Below are 19,741 nucleotides of genomic sequence, written 5' to 3'. Positions count from 1 at the left end.
CTGAGATAATCATTGCATATCTTCTCTCTCCTTAAGTCTCCAGGACCTCTCCCCGTGAGCTGATGTTTTATTTTCATACTTTACTGAAAAATTAGATGAAATAGACATTATCTTCAATTCCCTCCACTGATTCTATGCCCCTAGCTCCATCTGTACATTCCTTCCCATGATAATTGAAGATCTGTCTCTACTCCTCTCTAAGACAAGCCAGTTCTTGCTCTTTGGATCTCATTCTTCTAACACTTTAAAATACCTCATTCTTACAACTATCCCCCTTTTCCCCAGTACTCTCAACATTTTTCTCTCTATGGGATCAATTTCATCAGCACTCAAACATGTTTTAGTATCCTTGCTCTTACCAGAGAAATAAGGACCTTGACTTGAGCCCAGGTCACCATGCTGGACGTCTTCTCTTGGCTCCTCTGGATCCACTCTGACCTTTCTCCACCTTGGACACTGCATCAATAGTTTCCATGCACTCAGGTTTAAGGTTGAATTTGCTAAATAAGCACCTCTGCAGGAGATTGGAGGAAGAGAGGAGAATAGCATCAGAGTATTTACTCCCCTAGAAACTGCACTCAAAGCACAGAGTTACAATGCCATCTCTTAAGGTTGCCCGTGCCCTGCACATATCTTCATACACAGTACTTTAATGAATAAACCTTCCCAGAATTATCTTAATTTGACTGTGCCTTCTAACTTTTACTAGAATCCTGCCTGGTAAGGTCATCTTCTAGCTATAGCTCAATTTCTCTGCTATAACAATCTCTTGGTTTTTCTCATATTTTTCTGGCTGCTCCTTCTCAATGCCCATACTGGCTCTTCCCAAATTGAATAGATGTCTATATGTCAAAGTATCCCAAGGCTTTGTCCTAATCCCTTTCTTTTCTCTGTCCCCTTTTACCTTATGATCTCATGTAGTTCACAGCTTGAGATACCTTCTATATGTACTGGTGACTTTCAGATTTACATCTCCAGCAAAAACTCATATTCTAAGTTAAATACATTCATGTAACTACCCAGTAGATATCTTCACTTGGAATCTAAAGGGCATAGCACATTTCACATGGCCACAATAATGACAATGATCCCAACCCCTGAAGTCTTCCAAAGGAATCTCCCTCTCCACAGACTTCTCTGCCTAATTTGAGTACCACAATACACCCTGCTTCCCAGGCAAAAAACCTAAAAACCTTGATTTGTCTCATTTCTTATAACCCCCATTCAATCCATCAATAAATCTTATCAATTATGTCTCCAATAGATCCCAAATCCAACCACTTTTCACCATCTCACTGCTGTGACAGTCCAAGACACTGTCTCTCCTTGCCTGAGCTCCTGAAATAGCTTCATATCTGGATTGCCTGAACTCACTTTTAATAGTCCAGTCTTTACTTGCAGTCAGAGTAATTTTTCTAAAGTGTAAGCTATCCCCCTCCTTTAAATCTGCCAGAGCTCTCACTGTTCCCAGAATAAAATCCAGACTTATGATCATGATCTGTATGACCTGACATGACTTGATCTCGACTGCTGACTTCGATGTCCTCACTCTCCCTTCTGTCCCTGCTCATTCACCATTGTCCATAAACACTGAACTTTCTTTTGTCCCTTGAACATTTCAAACTCATTCCTATCCCTGGGCTTTGCTCATGATATTGTCTACTTGGAATAGCTCCCCTCATTTCTGCCTGGCTCACTTCTTCTCTGAACTAAAATAGTATCCTCTTCCTGGTTACTCTCAGAAATATCACCCTATATTATCCTCTCAATTACATTTATCATTGCTTAAAATTATTTAATTTATTTATCTCTGTATATGTTCATTATCTATCTCTCCTCATAGCTGAGAAGATAGTTGCTCCACAATATCCCACCTTTAGAGTTGTGCATGGCACATGATATGTGCTTAATAAATATTCGTGGAATAAATAGACGAATGAAAAACACAAAAATGAATTAAAATCGTGGTAAGTACTGTGAATTAAGCAAAAGGTGTCATGGAAGCTATAACAGTGGGGACTTGCATAAGACTAGGTAGTCACTGAAGGACTTTCTGAAGAAGTGACATTCAAGCTGAGACCTGAAAGGTGAGTTAGAGTAAGTGCAATGCGGGGGAAGAACTGTCCAGTCCAGGGAAGCAGCATGTGTAGGCGATCTGAGGCCATGAAGAACTTGGCGCATTAGAGAAATGAAGGAGGCCGGTATGGATTGAGTGGAGAGCATGGCATGAGATGAGTTTGAAGGCCAGTAGAAGTCACTTATAGAAATGTGGTAAATGCTGATGTACAGTCATGCACAAAGGAGGCAATGCCTGGGGAAGGTAAGCTGCTGGAGCTGGAGGAATGGAATTCAAGAAAGTCTTTACAGAAGCAGCAATATTGAGGCTGAGAAGTCACCAGAACGATGGGAATGGAGAAGTGAGAGGAGTACAGCAGGGAGGCACACGCAAGGGCAGACAAGTCTACAACAAGCTGCATATTCTGGGAACCACAGGTATGGTGTATCAAGAAAGGCACAGCTAAGAGGAACACTCAGGTGACTGTCTTGCTTGTCTTTATATCTCTAGCCCACTAGGCAGTTAATCAATATTGGTTCATTGAATAAGGAAAAAAGGAAATACAGGAGACAAAACTGGAGAACTAGGTAGAAACCAAGCCACAAGCATCCTTCTGTCCTTACTAAGGGTATGAAATTTTATTCAGTAAAAATAAAACATAATAAAAAGTCTTATGATAGAACTGACATGATGAGATGGAAAACCCAGTCAATCTCGTATTTTCTCAGAGTTTTAAAGAGGGGCCCACTTATTGATTAATTTAGTAAGAAGTTTATCATTCATCTACTTGATTCAATGCTGCACACACTCACAATTTGCTCAATATAATTTTATTGTGAATCTTGAGCCTTGTGGTAATTTTACAGAATACATTAGGTTCTTTATTCTAGGATTGGGATGTGGAGTTCAATTCTAAGCAAAGTTTTCTATTGGGACAATTGCAAATTTAAAACGATTAGCTTTAAATAGAGCATTGTTCCTTATCATGGATTATTTTGGTTCTTAAATGTCTGTCAAAGTAATAATAGGAGATTTGAGCTATTTTAAATATTTCAAAAGTCCAACACATTTATCAATGATTAGGTTGCACATACTAATTAAATTTCAAGGTTCTTTAGTATTAGCTAAAATTACACTAATTTCAATGTGTGGTCACGCTGATGAGCATGAATGACAGTCTTAAGTGATGATAGCCTCTTTGCTGAGCAGTGTCCCTGTGTAAAGATCCACAACTCTCCAATCATCTTTGGAGGACCTGAGATCAATTTGCATGAAATAGTATTCATTAGACATTTCTGGGAAAGAACTCATCCTAAGGAAAAGTTCAGTCAAGTAGCTCAAGTTCAGGCAAATGGCAATGAAGGACTGTTGAAGGGAAGGTAGGATTTATAACACAAAACTATCTGGGTGGTCTTAGACCTTAGTCACTGAGAGCCAGGGCTTTGGAATGTTACATATCTTCACTTGAATCCTAGCTTACCAATTCTTTCTGGGTAACTTTGGACATTGGCCCAATCCTGTAGAGCCTCAGTTTTCTCATTTGTGAGGTGGGAATCATCATGGGTACTATGTAAGTTTGTCTTAGGGAGGGGGGCTATGCATGAAAACTATTGCTCTAAGTTCTCCATAAAGAAAAAAGTGGCTATGTTCTGTCCTACTCTGTCTAGGCCTTCTCAGGCCTTCAACCATTGCCCATGCCCACAGCCCAGTCATCATCATCCACTTAGTTGCAATGTGACTCCACGCATGTCCTGGCCAATTCAGTAACCTCTACACAATGCAGCAAGATGGCACTGGCAGTATGGCACCTAGATCCTGGGTGTTGGAGCCAGGCAACATGGCTTGCTAAAGGCAATGTACAGTAGGCAGGATTTGAAGACAACTGCTAATAACCTATACCCTTTTATTATCCCCTCCTGTTAAGTGTGAAATGACCTGTTAATATGATGATATGTGGCAAAAGGGATTTTATAGAGGTAATTGGGGGCCCTAATCAGTTGAGTGCACTGAAAGGGAGATTATGCAGGTGGGCCTGACCCAATTACATGAGCTCTTTAAATCTGGATCTACAGATTAGAGACAAATGAAGTCAGAGACTCAAAGCATAAGAGATATTCAACATGATAGAGACTCTCCACTGCTGGCTAAGACAGAGGGAGCCATGTGGCAACAAATAGAGTGTATTTTAGTGGCCAAGAATGGCAGCTTCAGATGGCAGCCAGCAAGGAAATGGGAGCCTCTGTCCTACAGCAACAAGGAACTGAGTTCTGCCAACAAACTAAATGAGCTGGGGAGAGGATCCCTCGTTCCAGATGAGATGAGCTTGAGTTTGGTAAACATTATGATTTCGAGCTTGTGAGTCCCTAAACACAGAGCCTAGCTAGGCCATGCTCAGACTGCTGACTCATGTAAACTGTAAACTAACAAATAGGTGTAATTTTAAACTGCTAACTTTGTGTGAGTCTGTCTTAGAGCAATAAAACACAAGTACAGAATAATTGCCTACATGGAGTTTCTGGGTAGTTAGGAGCATGAGAGAATCTCTCTGGGGCTTTCTGGCACCTGGAAGGCCTTCCCTATGGACTGGCAGAATACTTCCTGTTCGAGCAAGTCTCTCCAAAGCAATGGGGATCATGAAAAACTGAACTCATTGACAATCCCCCAATCTGCTTAGTTGTGTTAGACTTTGTTAAATATGCATTTATTATGCATATCAAGTATATATCAGTCATGCAGCAGACAGATACAAAACTTACACTGGGTAACAGAGGAGAGTTTTATAAATGGACTCTATGCAAAGGTTTGGAGACATACACATGGGAGTGTTCAGTACCCCAAAGGTTAGCAATAGCAGTGAACTGTCAGTACCCCTAGGGAAAAATCTCCTGTTTTCTAGATCTCTTTCCCAGCTGACTTACTTTGATGGTATATGATTCCCAACAGCTTTCTGAGTAAGGCTGTCTGATAGACAACAGTTTTGGGAAACTTGAGTGTCTAAAAATGTCTTTGTTATCTCCTCACACATTGGACTAAGGGTATAGGATTCTAGGTTGGAAACCATTTTTGCTCAGGTGTTTGAAAATATTATTCCATTGTCTTCTAGTTTTTGATGTTGCTATTAAGCCCAATGTCATTGTAACCTTTCATGCTTTAAAGGCAATTTTTTATTCTATTGCATCGCTTAGTATCTTTTTATTCTTGGAGTTTTAAATTTTGTCATGATGCCCCATGATGTGGATCTTTCTTCTTTCATGACGTAGGAAACTTGTTAAATCCCTTTAGTCTAGAAACCCATATATGTTGGTTCTGTGCATATTTTTTAAAAATTCCTAGATAATTTCCTCCCATCTAATCTGTCATTTTTTTTTCCTGGAACTAATATTTGTTAGATATTAGACCCCCAGAGGATTGTCTAATTTTCTTACCTTTCTCCAGTATTGTCTATCTCATCAACTTTTATTTTTTCAAATTTCTGAAGAGTTCTTCAACGCAGTATTCCAATTATCCTCCCTTTTTCTTGACACTTTAATATTTGCTTTCACAACAATTCCAAGGATATTTTTATTTTGTAAATGCTTACCTTGTTCTCTGTTTTATATATTCAAGATTTTCCTCAATTATTTTACGATTTTTGGCACTCCACTAATAACTAGAATGGAGCACTGGAAAGTTAATTAGAGGTGCTGTGTATGTGACTGAGGCTGTCAACTGGTTGACCTCACCATAGAGTGATGAGAAGAGGATCTGCCATTTTATTGTGATAGTATCTGCATGTTTGTTTTCCTCCTGAGACGGATAGTCTCCATGGAGAAGAATTCTCCAGTGTCACAGTTGGAGAATAGAGACCTGAATGACAGTGTCAGGGAAAAATCATAAATAGAACTTTTCAAAATGTATATTTTGACTTAATTTTACATTACAAAAATGTAATTAAAATTACATTTTTGATATATCTTCTTGTATCCACCCTCAGATAGTCCTAGTGTCTCCATGTTCTCTGGTCTTCTGTAATAGAGCCTCTGTAGATAGTAAGTGTTGGGGAAGGAGTTATTTGGCTATTAGGACTAGACAGTGAATCTGTGGTTCTAACTCTTCCTTACACATATTGTCAATCAACCCTCTCATTTTTCTCCCCTTTCAAATACACTGGATGCCAATGAGCCATTATCTTTTCTGGGTCTTCTGATGTTAACTAGATTTTGACATCCCTAATATGGACTTAGTTTTCAGCTTGCTCTGCTCTCATCAGTTGGCTACCTCTATCCTTTTGTTTCCCATAGTTAACAATTTAGTTGACATCTCACAACTGATGTCATTACCTTTCCAATCCTCTTTGTTCTTGTAAGTTTATATCATTTCTTCATTCCTTTACAATCATTTTATTGGTTTGCATAAAAGAACGGAGTAAAAGCATAGATTCAAGCCGCCATGTCTAACTGGGCATTTTCTGTGCTACTATTCTTAAGAGAATTATCTCACTCAATCCTCACTGCAGCTCTAGGAGCTAGATACTGTTATTGTCACTTTCTTAAAGGTAAAGAAACACAGATATTAGGCCTATTGCCAGCATCACTCAGCAGGTAGGCGAAGGGGCTGGGATTTAACCTGGGTTCTTTTGACTTTATTCAGGAACTGCATTTTTTATCTTTTGGCAACATATCCTTTTAAACATCTACTATTTGAATTTGTAGGAGTCTTATTTTCCTGGAGTTACGTTTGTGTTCCATATTTCTGCCACATTCTTTAATGGAACCTTATTTACATTTCAGTGATTTGCTATCTTTTCCTTGGCTATAGATCATACTGCTTATTAATTTGACACATGTTCAAACTATCTGAGATGAATATTTATATATATTTTATGCATATTTACTCCCGGGAGGTACCCTTTCCTGGAGTCTATGCCTGGCATCTATATCTTCAACTAAGAAGAAATTGTATTTAAGGACATGTGCGTGGAGAGTGTCACTGGATTTGGAGTCAGCAGGCTCTCATTTTAGTCCTGCATCTACCAGCTGCTTGCTGCATGGTATTAGAAATTCATACAAACTCTGAGTTTTAGCTTTCTTGTCTGAACAGTGGATTAATTATTCCCATCCTTCTTGCCGTTACAGGATAGCCAAAAACAGATTTTAAAAACAAAGAGAATATTCTGTAATTCTACGACAGTCTTCATTAAGCTGTCATTCATTTAGTCATCCAAATTTTGACCACATCCACGTATCACTTTCACTGTTATTTAGTATTTAGTAAATATACTTTTATTAAGTCATTTTACTTCTTTTTTGCTTAAATACATTTATTTATAAAGGGAAATTAATGGAAAGAAAAAAAAAACACAGGAGCAAACTATAGAAACGATCATGGCCTAAGAGAGAAAGCATTGCTCATGAATGTGTTCAGGAAGAGCAGACAGGAATGGATCTTGGGCTTGGGGACCAGTTTTTCATTGTGTTGGCTCAAGACATTGGCATGAAATGAGTGGAATGAGTAAGGGAGAGGAAGATCCAAGGCAGCAGGTTGACTCACTGAAAGAAGTGAACTGCAATCTGAGAAGGAAGGTTGGAGTAGAACGGGATGGCGGCTTTTGATTGAATGGTAGGGTGGGGCACTGAAGCTAGAAAGAGGCCGTGACTGAAAAACTAGAGCCAGGGGTTTCGAGAAACATTTAGTTTAAGGACATCACATAAGGGTCAAAGCTGAAAAATTGGGAGAGCTTGAAGAGATATAAAGCTGCTTTGGGGATGAGGGGATGCTTGGAAAGTTAGGGATGATTAATAGGATTTAGGAAATGGAAACTGCCATGTAGATGGAGTCATGGTGTTACTGCAGCGGAGTAAGCCAGCAATTTGGAAGTGACAGATCTTTCAGGAAACATGGTAATGGAATATGTGTCTTCCTCATTTTAAGTTTTATAGCATTTCTTCCTGGGATTACACTCTGAGAGCAGGAATGCCCATCAGCAAGGGATAAGAAAAGTCAAGATATAAGTCTTGGGTGAAATAGTCAATATATCCCACCTAAAATTATTTTGCATATTGTATAATAGTACATGTATATATACCATATTTGGGGAAACTCTGCTTTAAAGCATTCTACAAATACATGGAATTACTTACAATTAGCTCTTGGAACAAACTTTATTATCCTTACAATTCTCCTCCATTCTTCCCTGGTAACTATATCCTGGTGTCTAGGAACTAAAAATGATCCCATGGGCACAGTTGGCTTTGTGTTTATATGGTATCTGGGGAGCCGCTGGAGGATTGGGCGTGGTAAAATTATAAACTTATTGAAGTTCAAACTTAGAACACCTTTTAACATCTGGCAAATATAAACCATCTCCTATTTTAATTTTTGTTTTTGGGCCTTTCTCAAAAAACTAAAAGTTCTTGCTCTAACAATCTTGGCTTAGATAGGAGACGGTCTGAAGTAAATGCGGTAGAAACAGTTACATCATAAACTATTCCAAGACCTGTCCTAAAATGGGAAATCTAGGAGATGGCTCGGTGCTCCATCTTGCTGGATTCCCACACTGGAAAGCCAAGGACAAAGGAGGATTAAGTATTCCACGCATTATCTTGGGATTGGGGTTTCATGCTTGGGAGGCCGGCGCCTGAAGTTTGCCTAAGAACAGACAGACAGCAGCAGCTCAAAGCCTGATCTATACAACTTTATCTAGAGCAGGGTCATTTGAAAGGATAGTGGTCATTGCTAATTTTGAGCATTTGCATAAACAGGAGGAAACAATAAGGAAATTGTTTAAGAAGGAAAAAAAAAATCCTATAGCCCTCCCCTCCATTTCTCCCTCCCTTCCTTCCTTTCCTGCAAATGACTGCTTGTTTAATACCAAACTAACCATTGTGCTTTTGAGAATCCATGATTACTGCTTGGGCTGGAAGGTAGTAAGATTTTGAGGCTAGAGGGGAGGTCAGAAGTCATCTAATTTAGTCCTCTTACTTTGAAATAAGAAACTTACAGCCCAGTGAAGTGAAATGATGATCCCAAGGTCACCCAATTGGTTAGTAGCAGAATCAGGCCTAGGTCAGTATTCCCTGCCTCCATCTGTTGTAAATCCTCTTGGACAGGCTTTGTGGCATGCTACCAGCAAAGCTTATTGGAAAGCATTTAAGAACGTTAGAGCGTCTGCAGATGTGATTTTACAGGTTATTTATTTGTTTTACTGCAGATCATGACTTCCCCTCCATCCCTCTTCTTGTTTCAGGGCCAGATTCTGCCCTTTGATGTTCTTTGTGGCATTCTTGTTGTCTTTGGCCCGAATCTGAAGCAGGGCTTGACCCAAAGCTACTGGTGCCTTTGTTTGCTCCCAGAGGACTTCCCCTCCTCCCAGGAGACTCAGAAAAATCAGTTGTCTTAGAAATACTTTCTACACAAGATGCATCCTGCTGTGTCTGTGTCATTGAATCTTTGAGTTGGAAGAGACCTCTGAGGTCATCAGTCCAACCCCTGACCCGGTTCAGGCATGTCTTCCAAAAATTCCCTGGCATATGGTCACATAGTCTTGTGGCTGGAAGGTACCTCAGAGACCAAAGAATATCTTGATTTCTTTTTGTAGGTAAAGAAGCTTAGATTCAAAGGTGAAATGATTCATCTCCATGCAGGTGGCAGAGCTAAAATTGTAATTCATGTTTCTGACCCTGAGTCTGTAGCACCGTCCACTGTTCCATCCAACTTCTAATTATTCTTCTAACAATTGTCCAGTGAATTATCCCTGTATTTATTTGTTAATCATAATTAATTTGCTAAGCCGCCCTTATTTTACCCTGTACTAATAGTTAAGGAAAATAGGCATTTAACTAGATAAAAAGACCACACAAGAATGGTCTTCATTCCCTAAAACAATCGGGGGTTTTTTTTTAAGGTTCTTTTGGGTTTTTTTGTTTGTTTGTTTGTTTTGTTTGTTTGTTTTTTGAGATGGAGTCTCGCTCTGTCGCCCAGGCTGGAGTGCAGTGGCACAATCTCGGCTCACTGCAACCTCCACCTCCCGGGTTCAAGCAATTCTTCTGCCTCAGCCTCCCGAGTAGCTGGGACTACAGGCACACACCACCACGCCTGGCTAATTTTTCTTTTTTTAGTAAGACAGGGTTTCACCATCTTGGCCAGGCTGGTCTCAAACTCCTGACCTCATGGTCCACCTGCCTCAGCCTCCCCAAGTGATGGGATTACAGGTGTGAGCCACCGTGCCCGGCCATTTTGGGTTTTTTTAATGCTGCTGTAACAAGTTATGAAAAATTTGGTTTAAGCCAAGACATATTTATGGTCTTAGTTCTGGAGGTCAGATGACTGATGTTGCTGGGCTAAACTCAGGCTGCTGGCAGAGTTGTTTTCCTTTTGGAGGCTCTAGGGAGAATCTGTTTCCTTGCCTTTTTCAGCTTCCAGAGACTGCAACATTCCTGCTCATGGTGTGGCACCTGCCTCCATCTTCAAAGTACATTACTCTAACTCTGCTTCCATCATTTCTGACTCTCTCTCGCCTACTTCTTTGCTTTATAAGGCCCTTCTGATTACATTTGGCCCATCTTAATAATCCAGAAAAATCCCCCTATTTCATGATCCCTAATATAATCATATCTGTAAAATCCGTTTTGCCATGTAAGCTGACACATTCACAGGTTCTTGGAATTTGGACCTGGATGACTTTGGAGGAGCATTATTCTGCCTACCACAGCGACTGTTGACAAAGCAGTCCAGCGCTGTCACTGACATATTAAGATATAAAGTCGTTGCAGAAAACAGATGCTTGAACCAAGTTGTGAGGGATGTGAAGCGTTCACTAGCCAGGGCAGATAAAATAGAGAATGATGAGTAGAAAGAAGAGCATGTTCAGAGCTGCCCAGATATGAGAGTGAGCACATGGCACTTTTGGGGAATGCTGAGTACTCAGGATGACTAGGAAAGACTATTATCCTATTAAAAATGCATTCTTAAAGTCTCAACAAGTTTCACACATAATGCAGTTAGGATAAGAGATGCAAAGAGATATCCACCTAACTCAAGGTAATATTGTAAATGGCACATTCATAAGGATTGAAAGAGGAGGAGTATAATGAGAGAGGGAGGTTTGTATCTTAAGTCTGCTGTTGAGGGACAAGAATAATCAGAAAGGGTCAAGTGGTGTAAACTGCCCAAAATAGGAAGTCTGGAGAGGCCTCGAGGGTAAGAAATATTTATTTTTAAAAAAGAAGAGTGCGACAGCACACATAATCTTTTGCGGGGAGGTGGGGGCTTAACTATGTGATATCACATATGGGAAACATTCATTGTTGTCAATCAAATGCTAGAAGCTGCTGAATTTAGGTCCAATGGTGACTCTCAAACTTCATCTCTGCACAGTAGCTTATTTAAAAATTTACTTGGGGTTGTCTTTGGCTATACTTCATCATCATGATCTGTTCCAAGTTTACAGAAGAGAGAATAAACAAATTTAAAAAATATATTTTTTCAATTTGGAGGTTTTCCCTCATACTTTTTTTGCACCTTCTTCAACTTTCTTTCTAGCAAGTACATATCCAAATGAATGAATGGTAATAAATATAAAAATACAGATTTTATGCTAGGTCTTGAGATGTGAAGAACTGCAATATGTATTAGAGTCCTATTTCTGACTATACTATGAATAGATGGGCCCATAGTTCATTGGGTCCCACAAAGAACATCATATTCCCACATGCTCTATTACCACAATTTGGATGGCAATTACATTTTTATCAGCAAGCAGTTATTGACACGAATTATGTCTCAGGTTGTCTTATAAGCTCAAGGGATAGAGGAACATATAAAATATTGCATTCTCAATGGATAGTTTTATATCTTAGACCTAGGACCTAGAGATGACCTAGGCAATACTAATTTTTTCGGCACCCTCCAATTCACTCCCAAGTAATTTACTTGCATCCTTTAGCTCCTTGAATCCTCTTTACCCAAATTTTGTACAAAAGGAACAAGGAAGAGTAGCAAGCTCATGGCAGGAGCTCAATCAATGGGTTTGGAACAAATAATGAGGACATTAAAGTAAAAATTTGGAGGTAAATTGCCTGTGCTCACAGAGCTATTAATTGGCAGTGCTGAACTTGAACCCATATCTATCCATTTTCAAAGCTCTTTCTATTTGCACACCAAAAAGCTGCTGATGACTGATAAAAATAATGACTAATATTTATTAAACTTTTGCTATATGTCAGACACTATTCTAACTGTTTCATATGCATTAACTCAATGCTTCATTTGAATTAAAAAACTTACAAAAACTTCACTGAAAGAAAATCTCTTGTGATAGATGTTGTTGGTATCCCCACTTTTCATGTCAAGTAACAAAGACTGAAAAGTTATGGAATTTTCTTAGCATTATCAACTATGAAAACTATATAGAGAAAATTGAACACAGGCACACTTATTCAAGGACCTATCTTATTATCTAGAGTGAAGCTGGTTTACAGAACAAAGACTATAGAGGATTTAGGAGAGTGAGGACACAGTCAGCTAGAGGTATGGAGAATGATGACTGAAGAAAATTTCAGATAAAGGTATATTAATAGACACAACCTACCTAAATTCTCTCTTCTGGTAGTTTAAAGTCATGGTAAGTAGAGTCTTAGATAACTTGTGGTATATCTCAGGCCCACTGTAGAGTCTGAGGGTACATCAATTAGACTCACACTTACAGTGGTTCTCCTTGTATCTGTTTTATATTTTAGTCTTCTCTATATGGTTTAATTTGAATAATGGTTTTATAGTACTAAAAGTCAGAAAAGTCACTCTCCTACTTATAATATCTGGGTGTAGTCATCAAAGCTTCCTCTAATGTGTCTGCTGGTGGGGAATTAATTACACAGTGATATGGCTTATTTTAGTTTCTGATATATCTATATATTAGATAGATCTTTGCTTTATAATCCAAACTTGATCTGCCTGTAAGCACGTATTTCAAAAGCAAATAAAATCTTTTGATGGCCTAGAATTTGGTCTGTCTTGGTAAATTTGCCATGCACATTGAAAAGAATGTGTATTCTACTGTTGCTGGGTGGATTGCTCTGTAAGGGTCGATTGGGTCAACTTTGCTGATGGTGTTGTTTAGCTTTTCTGTATGTTTATTGACTTTCTTAATATTTGTTCTATCAATTACTGAGAGACAAGTGTTGAGGACTTCAACTTTAGTTGTAGATTTGTCTATTTCTCCTTTCAGTTCTATCAGTTTTTATTTCACATATTTGAAAGCTCTATTGTTAGGTGATTAAACATTTAGGATTGTTATGTCTTCTTGGGGAAGAAACCCCTTTATGTAATTCCCCTCTTTATCCCTGGCAATGTTCTCTATTTCGAAGCCTACTTAGTCTGATGCAGTATTGTTACTTAAATTTTTAAAATTAGTCTGTGAATGTTATATCTTTTCTCATGCTTCTACTTTAAACCTTAGTATGTCTTTCTATCTGAAGACATGGAAAACATAACATTGCATCTTGCTTTTTTATCCAGTCTGATAATCTCCATCTTTTAATACACCTATGTGTGTTTTGATTATGGTTACTCTAATTATATGATATACTTTGATTAATATCTGCTATTTTGCTAGCTATTTTCTATTTGCTCCATCTTTATTTTTTTCTTACTTTCCACTTTCTTTCAAATTGAGTATTAAGAATCCCATGGTATCTCCACTTTGGATTATGTACTTATATCTCTTTTTAAAAATGCTTTCAGTGGTAGCCGTAGGGTTTATAGTATGCATCTTTGGCTAATCAACATCTATATCTTCAAATACGAACAGGGCTGGCTCACATCTATAATCCCAGCTCTTTGGGAGGCTGAAATAGGAGGATTTTTTGAGGCCAGCAATTTCAGACCAGCCTGTGCAACACAATGAGAACTCATCTCTAAAAGTAACTAACTAAATAAAAATTAGCCAGGTGTGGTGGCACATGCCTCCAGTCCCAGCTACTTGGGAGGCTGAGGTGGGAGGATTACTTGAGCCTAGGAGTTCAAGGCTGCAGTGAGCTATGATCATGCCACTGCACTCTCCGAGTGAGCAACAGATGAGATTCTGTTTCAAATAAAAAGAAAAAGAAATAAAATGATACCACTTCAGGTGTAGTTTAAGTACCTTAAACGAGAGTGACTCCCGCTCCCTTCCTCCCAACATTTGTGCTACTGTCAGTCATTTTACTTTTATACATGCTATACAAAGAATATACATATTGCTATTATTTTACTGTAGATTTTTGAATAACCTTTTTGAATAATTAAAAATAATTTTTAAAGGTTTTATATGTACTTTTTGATATGCCATTTTTAGGAGTTTCCATTTCTTTTCATAGACCCAAATTTCTGTCTGGTTAATTCCTTCTGCCCAGAGAACTTCCTTTGTGCTGCAGGCATGCTGGCAATAAATTCTGTCAGTTCTTGTTTGACTAAAAATGTTTTATGATTCCTTCATTAGAAAATTTTTCTTTTCACCATGGATAGAATTTTTACTTTACAGTATTTTTTTTCTTCCTCTCGAGACTTTAAAGATGTTACTCCATTATCTTCTGGCTTGTATAGCTTCTGACAAAAGTCTTTGTTTTTATTGACATAATATGTCTTTTTTTTTTAGCTTTGCTGCCTTAAAGATTTTATTTCTGCCTTTGTTCTACAGCAGTTCAAATATAATATATATAGTGGTGTGTGTGTGTGTGTGTGTGTGTGTGCGCGCGTATGTGTGTGTGTTTATCCTGTTTCATATTCTCTGGGCTTTCTGGATATGTGATTTAATGTCTTTCATTAATTTTAGAAAATTTTCAGCCATTATCTCTTCAAAGATTTCTTTTGTCCTATTCTGTCTCTTCTCTGGAATTCCAAAGACATGTACTGAATGTTAAATAGTTTGATATTTTGAATAGCTCTTGGATGACCTATTATTTTTTCCACTACTCTTGCTGTTTGCATGTTGTATTTCAGATTGTATAATTTCTAATTACCTACCTTCAAGTTCTCTAATTTTTTTTTCAGTTGCATCAAATCTAGTGATGAGCCCATCAAAGGCATGCTTCATCTCTGTTACAGTTTTATTCATTTCTAACATTTGCAATTAATTCTTTCTTAAAATTTTGATCTCTCTGCTAATTCACCTGATCATGCAATTTATGTATCTTTTTCACTAGAGTCTTTAATATCTTAATCAGCTGTTTTAAATTCCCTGACGTTTTCAACATCTATTTCATTTCTGAGTCTGGTTCCATTGATCGCGTTGTCCCTTGACAATATGTTTTATTTCTTTGTGTCTTATTTTTTGTATACCTCATAATATTTTTATATGACAAGACTGATATATGTAATTTTTATGAATCAATTGGGTATACTGTGAATTTTGCCAGGATTTTGGGGGAAGATAGTCTTTGGTTTGAGTCATTTAAGTCAGAAATTAAGCTCAGTTTGGGATTTATTACTGATATGCTTATGGTATTTGGCCATTCTTGCATTGCTGTAAAGAAATACCTGAGGTTGGGGAATTTATTTTATAAAAAGAAGTTTAATTGGCTCACTGTTCTGCAGGTTTTATAGGAAGCAACTTGCTGGTGTCTGTTTCTGGTGAGGTCACAGGAAGCATACAATTATGGCAGATGATGACAGGCAGCCAATATGTCACATAGTGAGAGTGAGCAAGAGAAAGAGTGGAGGGCGATACCACACTCTTTTAAACAACCAGATCTCATGTGAACTCACTCATTATGAAGGGAATGGCACTAAGCCATTCATGAGGGATCTGCTCCCATGATGATTCAGGAACCTCCCACCAGATTCCACCTCCAAAACTGAGGATTAGATTTCAACATTAGATTTGGAGGGGACAAACATCCAAACCATATCATTCTCCCTCTGGCCCCCAAATCTCATGTACTTCTCACATGGCAAAATACAATCATCTTTTCCCAAGGTCCCCCAAAGTCTTAGCTCTTTCCAACATCAAGTCCTAAGTCTCATCTGAGACATATCCTTCCACCTATGAGCCTGTAAAATCAAAATAAATTATTTACTTCCAAGATACAATGGAGATACAGGCACTGATTAAACATTTCCATTTTAAAAGGGAGTCAAATTGGCCGAAATAAAGGGGCTACAGGCTCCACACAAGTCTGAAATCCAGCAGGGCTGTCATTAAATCTTAAAGTTTCAAGATAATCGCCTTTGATTCTTTGCCCTGAATGAGGGGTGGGCTCCTAAGGCCTTGGGCAGCCCCACTCCTGTGGCTTCCCTGGGCGAAGCCCGTGTTGCTGCTTTCATGGGTTGTAGTTGAATGCCTGTGGCTTTTCCAGGCTCAGGATGTAAGCTGCTAGTGTATCTACCATTTTAGGGGCTGTAAGGTAGAGGCCCCATTCCCACAGCTTCACTAAGCAGTTGTCTCAGTGAGGACTTGTGTGGAGGCTCCAATCCCACATCTTTCCTTGGCACTACCCTAGCAGAGGCTCTCTGTGGGGGCTCTGCTCCTGTACAGGCTTCTGCCTGGCCACCCATGCTTTCTCATGTATCCTCTGAAATCTAGGTAGAAGTTGCCAAGCCTCTTTTACTTTTGTGTGCTAAATACCTGCAGGTTTAATACAACATGGAAGCCACCAAGGCTTACAGAATGTGCTTTCCAGAGCTGTGACCTGAACTGTACCTGGGGCCTTTTGAGTGAGGCTGGAACTGGAGTGGCCTGGATGCAGAGAGCAGTGTCCTAAGGCTGTGCAGGTCAGTGGGGACCTGGGTCTGGCCCATGAAATCATTCTTTCCTCCTTGGTCTCTGAGCCTGTGATGAGAGGGGTTGCCTTGAAGATCTCCAAAATGCCTTTCAGGCCTTTCCTTATTGTCTTGGCTATTAGCATTTGGCTCCCTTTTAATCATGCTGATCTCTCCAGCAAGTGGGCACTCTGCCGCCTGCTTAGATTCTTCCCCTGAAAATGAGCTTTCCTTTTCTACTACATTGCAAAGCTACATATTTTCCAAAGTTTTATACTTGGCTTTCTTTTTAAATATAAATCCCACCTTTAAGTCATTTTTTTTTGCTCCTGCATCTGAGTATAAGCTGTTAGAAGCAGTCGGGTCACATCTTAAATGTTTTGCTGCTTAGAAATTTCTTCTCCCACATATCCTAAGTCATCACTCTTAAGTTCAGGCTTCCAAATATCTCTACAGCATAAACACAATGCAGCCAAATTCTTTGCTAAGGCATAACAAGGGTGACCTTTCCCCCAGTTCTCAATAAGTTCCTCATTTCCATCTGAGACCTCATCAGCCTGGACCTCACTGTCCATATCACTTTCAGCATTTTGGTCTCAATCATTTAACTAGCCTCTAAGAAGTTTCAAACATTTCCTCATCTTCCTACTTTCTTCTGCATTCTTCAAACTCTTCTTATCTCAGTCCTATTACCCAGTTCCAAAGTTGGTCCTACATTTTCAGGTATCTTTATAGCAATGCCCCACTCCTCAGTACCAATTTTCTGTATTAGACCATTCTTACATTACTGTAAAGAATACCTGAGGCTGGGTTATTTTTTTTTTGGTGGTGGGCGCCTGTAATCTCAGCTACTCAGGAGGCTGAGGCAGGAGAAATGCTTGAAGCCAGGAAGCAGAGGTTTCAGTGAGTCGAGATCGTACCACTGTACTCCAGTCTGAGCAACCAAGTGAGACTCTGTCTCAAAAAAAAAAAAGAAAAAAAATGTTTAATTGACTCATGATTCTTCAGGCTTTACAGAAAGCATGATGCTGACATCTGCTTCTGGTGAAGCCTCAGGGAGCTTACAGTTATGGCAGAAGGTGACAGGGAGCCAGCATGTCACATGACAAGAGCAGGACCAAGAGAGAGAGGGAGGAGGTGCCACACCCTTTTAAACAACCAGATCTTGTGTGAACTCACTCATCACCAAGGGGACAGTGCTAAGCCATGTATGAGGGATCCGTCCTCATGATTCAAACATCTCCTACATGCCTCACCTCCAACACTGGGGATTACATTTCCAAAAGATATTTAGAGGGGAGAAATATCCAAACTATATAACTTACCTTTCCTGCACAATAAGATTTAAGTTCTAGAGGTAACTTGTGTTTAGACTGGAGACTCATGTGCAAGATGATGTTCCTCAGGATTTGCTCCACTATCAGGTTTAGGTCTTTTCTTTTCTCTGATGCTATAAGATGATTTTTTCACATGCTCTTGTCCTCTCATAGCAAGAACCTGCTGCTGACTGAGGAGAGGAGCAGAGTGTTTTCTGTTGTTTGGATTGAGGCTCAGTTTCAGATAGGCATTGTGTTCCTGAATACCCTGATAGTGGTGCCTTCTCCATGATACTGCCCTTTCCTAAACTGCAAGAGAGCTGTTTATCTGAGCTTAGCATGTATTGTTGCCTTTCTTTCAGAGATAGAGAGTCTATGTTTATTTCTTCTCTCCAGATGCAGTGGATCTTCACCACTGTCCCAAGGCCAACATTGTTTATTGTCTTTTTCTTACAAGCTTAAGCTATGTGCGCTATAGAAGAGGTAGGGTGAAGAATCTATGGCTTTATTCCAATGCTACACAGGCTGCTATTTTTCTCTTTGAAATATGAGCCATGAGTAAATTTTTCTTGGATTCTCACCCTGCCTCCAATCATTCTTGTGAACACCTGATGAAATTTGTAGTCTATTGAGAAGAGCCAGTGAATAGTGTGAACTCCCATTTCTCTGTGGCTTGCAGGGATTCCATAATCTTATCTTAACCCATACTCAGCCTTTACCAATTTTTAAAACATTAGTTGAATTATCATCAACAGCTTATATGGTTACTTGTGGCGTCTATCCTAAGAAAACATGTGTTCATGTCCTGGCTCTTCCTGAAGGCATTTTTCTTTTTTTTTTCTTTTTTTTTTATTATACTTTAAGTTTTAGGGTACATGTGCACATTGTGCAGGTTAGTTACATATGTATACATGTGCCATGCTGCTGTGCTGCACCCACTAACTCATCATCTAGCATTAGGTATATCTCCCAATGCTATCCCTCCCCCCTCCCCCCACCCCACAACAGTCCCCAGAGTGTGATATTCCCCTTCATGTGTCCATGTGATCTCATTGTTCAGTTCCCACCTATGAGTGAGAATATGCAGTGTTTGGTTTTTTGTTCTTGCGATAGTTTACTGAGAATGATGATTTCCAATTTCATCCATGTCCCTACAAAGGACATGAACTCATCATTTTTTATGGCTGCATAGTATTCCATGGTGTATATGTGCCACATTTTCTTAATCCAGTCTATCATTGTTGGACATTTGGGTTGGTTCCAAGTCTTTGCTATTGTGAATAATGCCGCAATAAACATACGTGTGCATGTGTCTTTATAGCAGCATGATTTATAGTCCTTTGGGTATATACCCAGTAATGGGATGGCTGGGTCAAATGGTATTTCTAGTTCTAGATCCCTGAGGAATCGCCACACTGACTTCCACAATGGTTGAATTAGTTTACAGTCCCACCAACAGTGTAAAAGTGTTCCTATTTCTCCACATCCTCTCCAGCACCTGTTGTTTCCTCACTTTTTAATGATTGCCATTCTAACTGGTGTGAGATGGTATCTCATTGTGGTTTTGATTTGCATTTCTCTGATGGCCAGTGATGATAAGCATTTTTTCATGTTTTTTGGCTGCATAAATGTCTTCTTTTGAGAAGTGTCTGTTCAT

The 19,741-nt window shown here is 39.1% G+C and overlaps 2 long non-coding RNA genes across 2 annotated transcripts in view; one reads left to right on the top strand and one right to left on the bottom strand.

Moving 5' to 3' along the window:
* Nucleotides 1–19,741, bottom strand: part of CASC21 (cancer susceptibility 21) — a 147,995-nt gene that overhangs the window by 52,837 nt on the left and 75,417 nt on the right. Inside the window, exons 2-3 of the long non-coding RNA NR_117099.1 lie at nt 17,569–17,722; nt 360–514 (exon numbers count right to left, since the gene is read on the bottom strand). This is a non-coding gene — a long non-coding RNA (cancer susceptibility 21). The remainder of the gene's footprint in view (nt 1–359; nt 515–17,568; nt 17,723–19,741) is intronic.
* CASC8 (cancer susceptibility 8) overlaps nt 1–19,741 on the top strand; it is a 192,464-nt gene that overhangs the window by 142,345 nt on the left and 30,378 nt on the right. The gene's annotated exons all lie outside the window — the stretch shown is intronic.

This window comes from Homo sapiens, chromosome 8 (assembly GCF_000001405.40).
Source record: "Homo sapiens chromosome 8, GRCh38.p14 Primary Assembly".
NCBI lineage: Eukaryota > Metazoa > Chordata > Mammalia > Primates > Hominidae > Homo > Homo sapiens.
Note: the sequence above shows the minus strand (reverse complement) of the source record. Positions and strands in the feature narration are given on the sequence as shown.